This window comes from Homo sapiens, chromosome 6, assembly GCF_000001405.40.
Source record: "Homo sapiens chromosome 6, GRCh38.p14 Primary Assembly".
NCBI classification, from domain to species: Eukaryota; Metazoa; Chordata; class Mammalia; order Primates; family Hominidae; genus Homo; species Homo sapiens.
In genome coordinates this window covers 114,564,037-114,571,963 of record NC_000006.12, presented here as the reverse complement: position 1 = coordinate 114,571,963, position 7,927 = coordinate 114,564,037, and the positions used below count along the sequence as shown (strand labels likewise).

General features: G+C 38.5%; 1 annotated feature.

The window, feature by feature from the left end:
* Positions 7,057-7,579: an enhancer, noted in NCBI's record as "NANOG hESC enhancer chr6:114885549-114886071 (GRCh37/hg19 assembly coordinates)". NCBI's record gives its function as "activates a minimal SCP1, AML or CMV promoter by ChIP-STARR-seq in naive H9 embryonic stem cells {active_cell/tissue: H9 hESC(naive)}" and the evidence as "EXISTENCE:reporter gene assay evidence [ECO:0000049][PMID:30033119]".

Sequence of the window (7,927 nt, the reverse complement as noted above, 5' to 3'; positions counted from 1 at the left end):
AGCTGAGACATTTCTGTAAGGAAGTATTAATTACAAAAGCAGTAAACTATAGGAAAGCATGTCACAAAGTCACCGGACTGTCCTAAACGTTCTGTGGGCAATGGTAGAATTTATTTATTCTCAGAAGGGATTCTTTGAAAATCTGTTTTCAGTTCAGACACAAGTGAACAGGATAAAATGGTTTGGTGTGGTCATGCAACCAGCAATGGATAACATGTAACCAGCAAGGGATACAGAAGATAGTCAGCTCAAAGACAGCTTTTATAAAGGTGTGGAATGTATGCCAAGCACACTGCCTTTCACATAATAGATTCTCAATAAATATTTTTTGGATAAATGGATAAATGGTTAGATTAGCTAACTAATCAAAAAAAAAAAAAAAACCCCAGAATTCTGAATATGTTTGCAATTCCTTTCAATGATAATGCTTATCCCCAAGACACTATTAACTTTCCTTTTTTTATTTTTTTGAGACAGGGTCTCACTCTATCCAGGCTGGAGTGCAGTGGCATGATCTCGGCCCACCGTGACCTCCGCCTCCCAGGTTCAAGCAATTCTAGTGCCTCAACCCCCTGAGTAGTTGGGATTACAGGCATGTGCCACCATGCCTGGCTAATTCTTGTTTTTTTTTTTTTTAGTAGAGATGGGATTTCACCATGTTGCCCAGTCTGGTCTCGTACTCCTAGCCTCAAGTGATCCACCCACCTTAGCCTCCCTAAGTGTTGCATGAGCCACTGTGCCTGGCCCTAACTTTCAGTTACCATTAAAATCACATTGATGTCTTAGTTGAAATCTGGAAGTTCATGCTTTACTTATTTATTAACCTCTTTATGGTTTATTTTATACCAACAATTAAATTCTTTTCAGTCAATCCTTCCTTACTGTCTTTAGAAATTTCTGACCTAGAAAAAGCCATTTGAAAAAAACCTATTAACAAGAAAACCCACCTTTGATGTTTACAGGCATTATTCTGGAGTACTGGTTGTCAGACCACATAAGCAGCATATCTTATTATATGATATCTAATCTGGACATATTCCCATTAGAGTATAAGTACTAAGAAATTTGATTATACTATAGCCAATCACATTGTGACACTATGAATAGAAGAAGCAAATAAAATTGAATAGACTTTTTTGTAGATAGTCGAATGTCAATGTTAAAAGGACTCGTTGTCAGCCTTTGTCTTTCTCAACACTTCTCGGCTGGAGGAGCAGAAATCTCCCACCACGAATCCACCCTCATTCCATTTCTTGGCTGGTATAGGAAGGAAAGGTGAATCTGGAGGAGTGATTCTGAGGAGATGGAAACCTGAAATGTCACTTTTCTATTGTGTTGGAAGTCCTCTCAAGTGATTTTATAGGCCGCCCAAGTAAGATCCTGAAATTTCCTCTCCTTTCCCCAACGCTTTGTCATTTGGGGTTTGAAATGATTATCCAAACCACATTATGGTCTCTGACCTGATGCCAAATACAGTTTGCAGTTAACTGAGACCCCTTCTGCTGTGGTTAATCTGTAGATACTAAATTTATTTGATACTGGTGTGTCCTTGAATAATTCTGAGTTTGTGTAGTCGCCTTGGGCAGTGCACTGTCTTCTTCTGTTGGAGTTAGCGATAGATATTAAGACATTTCTTTTCACCCCATTTCATGTTGCACTGAGCCTAGCTGCCTAGCTGATTTGTGACACCTTAGAACCTAATCCAAGGAGTTCTTTCTAATCAAGAGGGATCTGTGTGGTCCCACTTCAAAGCATCCCTGATGCTGTAAACACACAGCATTGAGGGATAAATAAGAAGAGAAGAAAAAAAAGTGTCATCAAGAAGCAAGCACAAAATAAAAGGGAACAAAATCGAAAACACAAATAGTAAGTGGTAAGAAGGGCTGAAGTTACTACCTACTGAGTGTTGAGTAATAAGCAGAGCAGACCTGGTATTTGGCTTCTTCAGGGAAGCAGAAACTGCAATTGGTCACCCTAAATCATATTCCAATTATTGAAGCCCGGAGCGGGAGTGGAATTACTCACACAAGAAAGAGAATAGAAAATGCATCTGCCTGCCACAGCAGAGACTGTGGCCAACATAAAGCTTCAGCCTAAGGAGGTGGGAAGCGGCAGACAAGGCTATGAGACCAGGAAGTGACTTAAGCCACCTGCTGGTGTAGTCATTAGTTTAGAGATATATAGCTATAGATCTGCCAGGCACTAATGCTGAAAAGAAACCTACTCTGAAAGGATAAAATATTATTTTAGTAAAATCAAGGTTTGTAAATCCATTCAGATCTGTACCAAAAATTAATCAGAATATATGAATTTTTTAAGACACTACTTTACACTCATTAAAATGACTCTTTTTTTATTTTACTTTAAGTTCTGGTATACAGAAATAACAAGTGTTAATAAGGGTGTGGAGAAATCCTTGTGCACTGTGGGTAGAAATGTAAAATGGTGCAGCCACTACAGAAAACAGTATGGCAGATTCTCCAAAAATTAAAAATGGAACTACTATATGATCTATCAATCTCACTTCTGGGTATATACCCAAAAGAATTGAAAGCAGGGATTCAAACAGATATTTATACACCTATGTTCATAGTAGCATTATTCATAATATTCAAAAAATAAAAGTAACTCAAGTCTCTACTGATGGATGAATACGTAAACAAATGTGATATATACATACAATGAAATATCATTCAACCTTAGAAAGGAAGGGAATTCTGACACATGCTTCATAGGAGAACCTTGACAACATTAAGCCAAGTGAAATAAGACAGTCAAAAAAAGATGAGTACCATATGAGTCCATGTATGTAAGGTACCTAGAGTAACCAAATTCATAGAGACAGAAAGTCAAATGGTAGTTGCCAGGAACTTGGAGAGGAGAAAATGAGAAGTTATTGTTTAATGGATATGAAGTTGGGAAGATTTCTAAAATTCTGTAAATGGATACTGGTAACGGTTTAACAACATTTTAAATGCCTGAACTTAATACCATTGAATTGTACACTTAAAATTTGTTAAAATGTTGAATTTTAAGCTGGGCATGGTGGCTCATGCCTGTAATCCCAGAACTTTGGGAGGCGGAGGTGGGCGGATCACCTGAAGTCAGGAGTTCGAGACCAGCCTGACTAGCACGGAGAAACCCAGTCTCCACTAAAAATACAAAATTAGCCGGGCGCAGTGGTGCATGCCTGTAATCCCAGCTACTCAGGAGGCTGAGGCAGGAGAATCGCTTGAATCTGGGAGGCAGGGATTGCAGTGAGCCAAGATCACGCCATTGCTCTCCAGCCTGGGCAACAAGAGCGAAACTGCGTCTCAAAAAAAAAAAAAAGGTTAAATTTTATACTACACATATTTCACCATAATAAAAAAGATGGTAAAACAGTGAACTCAGAGGGGTTCAACAGAATCATAGAATTTCTTCATCCTTTTTCTCCCAGCAATTTTATTTATTGTTGCTGCTTAGGTTTTGTTTCAATGAGCTTGCATTTCTTTCTTATTAAAATTGGAAATTACATTCTAGGCAGAATTAAACAGTTAATAAAAGGTATGCCCAGTGTATTTTCCAATAATCTGGCTTTCTGGATGAGTTTTCTATGTCAATTTTCAGGACTGCCTGGTGATGTATGAATTTTAGGGAAGAATGAAAATGAAAGTTCACATTAACATCTGATCTCTATAGTGAAAATCAACCATGGATTAAAGAAACACTATTTTGAATATTTTCCTACAAATAAGACACATACAGGTACAGTTGCAAATGGGAATGCAAATAATTACCTTGTATTATAAAGTATAGCAGGCTAATTGTTCCAAAGGAGTCACACATATGCACAGTCATATTAAATTTTTGTTTTAAATGTTCTTTTCGGTGAATTCCTATGCACGGTGAGCAATTTAGGTGGTGCCGGCAGGGAGCGTACAGCCATTTAAGGCTTCTCTGTTAGGGAGATATTTTCTGGTGTTTGTATTACATTCATTTATCCCATCTGAGAGCTTGTTCCTCACACCCATTTCCTTTTTTGAGGCAAATCTATTACACTGTACTATTTTTCCCCCAGGCAGAAAGACAGGAGATTTGTGCTTTTCCCATGGTTTTTATGCTCCAAGAACCACTCAACAATTAAGTAGTTAGACTATATTGGACTCTTCGTTACATTTTCTTCCCTAATTGCTCAGCCTGACACTGTAGAGACTCATTTTCTTGGAATTTGTATCTTCATTGATTGCCAACATTCTCTTTTATGACCTGTAATTAATCTGCTTTGAGCCTCAATTTTTCTTTCAGCATTCCTTCATTACCTCTTCTCAGTTTTGAGGACCCATGTAAACCATGTGGAAGCCAAGGGCATCTGTCCATCCAGCAGAAAAAGGAAGTGTCCTGCCCCGTAATAGTCATCATAAATGATGCAGGGGCTGAAACTATGTCTTTTTCATGGTGAATGATGTCAATAACAAAGAATTTCTGTAGGAAATCATGTTCCTTAGTTTTCATCTGGCAATACAAATTGACCTGCTTTTATTTATTTAATTAATGGATCCTCTTTCACATCTCAAGTATTACTGGAATACTCCTTGGCATTAGTCCTATTTCCAGAATTCCCTTTGCTAATAATGCACAAAAATCATGGGCAAAGAGAAGTGGTGGAAAGAGGGAGTGAAGGAAAAGCATTAGACGAGGGGTGGAGGAGACGGGAAAGGAGGAAGAAGGAATAGATGTGTGGTAACCACCTTGGGAAAATGACAGGAAGAACTGGATACAGCATCCTAGGTGACAGGATATTCACAACGAAGAGCCAGTAAACCACATCAATGCCAGGCTAACTTAGACTTCTCTGCTTTAGTGTCTTGACAAAGGGAGGTATTATGCATTAGTTGCCACTAAAAATATTTAATAGTATTGAATTTTGTGAATTATATTCTTTATAAATTAAAGCTTATTTGAGTGATCACTGCAGTGACATCCCTCTCACTTACTTCCTGGTGTGCTCTTATGGAAGCAAAAGGAGTGGAATTATAGCTAGCTTGCAGGGAATTGTGCTTAAACTGCTAAATATGGTGTCTCCACTTCTCTCAAGCCTGAAGAGAATGAATATTTAGATGGATTACTTCATGACATACATGCTTAAAACATGCTTTTAAAAGTACCACGCCCTGGCCGGGCACGGTGGCTCATGCCTGTAATCCCAGCACTTTGGGAGGCTGAGGCAGGCAGATCACGAGGTCAGGAGATCAAGACCATCCTGGCTAACATGGTGAAACTCCATCTCTACTAAACATACAAAAAATTAACCAGGCGTGGTGGTGGGCACCTGTGGTCCCAGCTACTCAGGAGGCTGAGGCATGAGAATGGCGTGAACCTAGGAGGTGGAGCTTGCAGTGAGCCGAGATCGCACCACTGCACTCCAGCCTAGGCAACAGAGTGAGACTCCATCTGAAAAAAAAAAAAAAAAAAAAAAAGTACCAAGCCCTTCCATCACCACACATCCAAAGGTCTACAGGTCTATATTTCTGGTTTTCTGGAAACATTCTTAAAATATAGATTTTTAAAAATAAACGGGTTTATGGCACATATGTGAATATCATCTTCTACATTTACAGAGAAGGGAAAAGAGATGGAGACAAGCTGCTTAGTGCCAACATAATGCTTTACACCACCTTATAGTTCAATTCTCCTGTCTGAGGTGGGCAATTGTTACTCTATTTTGTAGATCAAAAAAAAGTCCTCTGACAGTATTCTAAATGTGATTCCATTTATGAGCTACTTTTCACTTGCAAGACAGTTTCCAAAAGCACAGCTTCTCTTTGGCTCAAAAGCATGTATTTCTCCCATATTTCTTTATCAAATCCAAGCACTTTGTCTGGTTTTTAATCCCTCCCCCTCCTCAAATTTGTGGCTGCAACCTATTTATCCAACCTTATCTTCCAACAGTTTTTCTTAATGAAGAGTCAGGCATGTCCCTGGAGAAGAAAGATCTTAATGTAAAATTTTAACACCTATGCCCACTTAAGTGTACTGAAGCTACCTCCATGGGGTAGATACTAGAGGGATTACACATTAGACACATGATGAGGCCACATGTCTAACAAGAGAGAGAAATGGATTTGAATTGAAGTCATTTATTTCTTGTCCACTATGACAGGAAGCTGTGAGCCACACGCATGCCTTTTGGATGTGTCCTCCAAAAGGGATCATCTAATATTCCCTTGAGTTCACCAGCCCATCACTAACATGAAAAAAAGCAGATGAAACTATGTGTTTGCAGTTATGACTGAGAAGATGGTTTCAGATGTGCCCTGTGGTAACCAAGTGTCAGTGACCCCTATCCAGAAAAAATATTTCCAATTATACTTTTTAAAGAAATGAAATGAAGGTCAGTGAAGTGGCTGCACCTTTCTAAGACTAAACTGAGCTTTCAATTGGATTTATAAAATTGAGAGTATTTATGGCTTTAAAAAAAAAGCCTGCAGAGAATAAGAGGTGGGGGATTTGTTACACTGCTATTACTTTGCAGCTTTTTATTATTATATTTCCTATTAATTTTATTGAAAAATCTATACTTTGTTTGAAAACAGATTTTTTATTAGGTTTTCAATTTATGTTAATACTGTCTACCACATTTAAAATATCACAGCATTATGTTTCAACTTTTTTGATTGAGGATAAAAGAGAAAAATGTATTCTCTTATGGCTTAAGCATCCATCACATGAAAATTGGTGAACAGTAGAGTAAGCAAACATGTAGAAAGTATGTGTTATTCTCACTTTTATAAAAATGTAGTTTTCTTAATACAAAAAAGTATTATGTAAATGAAAGAGTAAATTGATTGAACATGGGTTTTACTAACAATCTATCTCCATCATCTCTGAACACTAACATTTTAAAATATAGCCCCATAGTGAAGTTGATTAGTACCAGAAAGACAGCCAAGAATATAAAGATAATCAAATATTGGGGGAACCAGCCCCCAATATTTCAACTTAGGTTCTTTTCTATTTTCCCTAAGTGTCGGCCAGTCTGAGAAATAAACAGAGAGACTACAAAGAGAGAAATTTTACAGCTGGGCCTCCGGGGGTGACATCACATATTGGCAGGATCCATGATGCCCGCTGAGCTGCAAAACCAGCAAGTTTTTATTAGGGATTTTAAAAAGGGAAGGGGGTACGAACAGGGAGTGAGTCACAAAGATCACATGCTTGAAAGGGCAATAAAAGATCACAAGGGCAGAAAGGCAGAGCAAGATCACAAGGCCAGGGCGAAATTAGAATTACTGATGAGGTTCCATGTCTTGCTGGGCACACATTGTCATTGATAAACATCTTAACAGGAAACAGGGATCGAGAGCAGACAACTGGTCTGACTATAATTCGCCAGGCTGGAATTTCCTAATCCTAGCAAGCCTGAGGGTGCTGCAGGAGACCAGGGCGTATTTCATCCCTTATATTCAACAGCATAAGACAGACACTCCCAGAGCGTCCATTTTAGAGATCTCCCCCTGGGAATGCATTCCTTTCCCAGGGTTATTCCTTGCTGGCAAAATAATTCAGGGGTATTTCTCCTATTCGCTTTATGCAAGAAGAGAAATATGACTCTGTTCTGCCCAGCCCCAGAGGTAGTCAGACCTTATGGTTATCTCCCTTGTCCCCTGAAAATTGCTGTCATCCTGTTCCTTTTTAGAATGCCCAGATTTCATATTGTTCAAACACTCATGTTTTACAAACAATATGTGCAGTTAATGCAATCATCACAGGGTCCTGAGGCAACATACATCCTCAGCTTATGAAGATGACGGGATTAAGGATTAAAGTAAAGAAGCATAGGAGATTATAAGAGTATTGATTGGGGAAGTGATAAATGTCCATGAAATCTTCACAATTTACGTTCAGGGACTGCAGTAAAGACAGGCATAAGAAATTATAAAAGTAT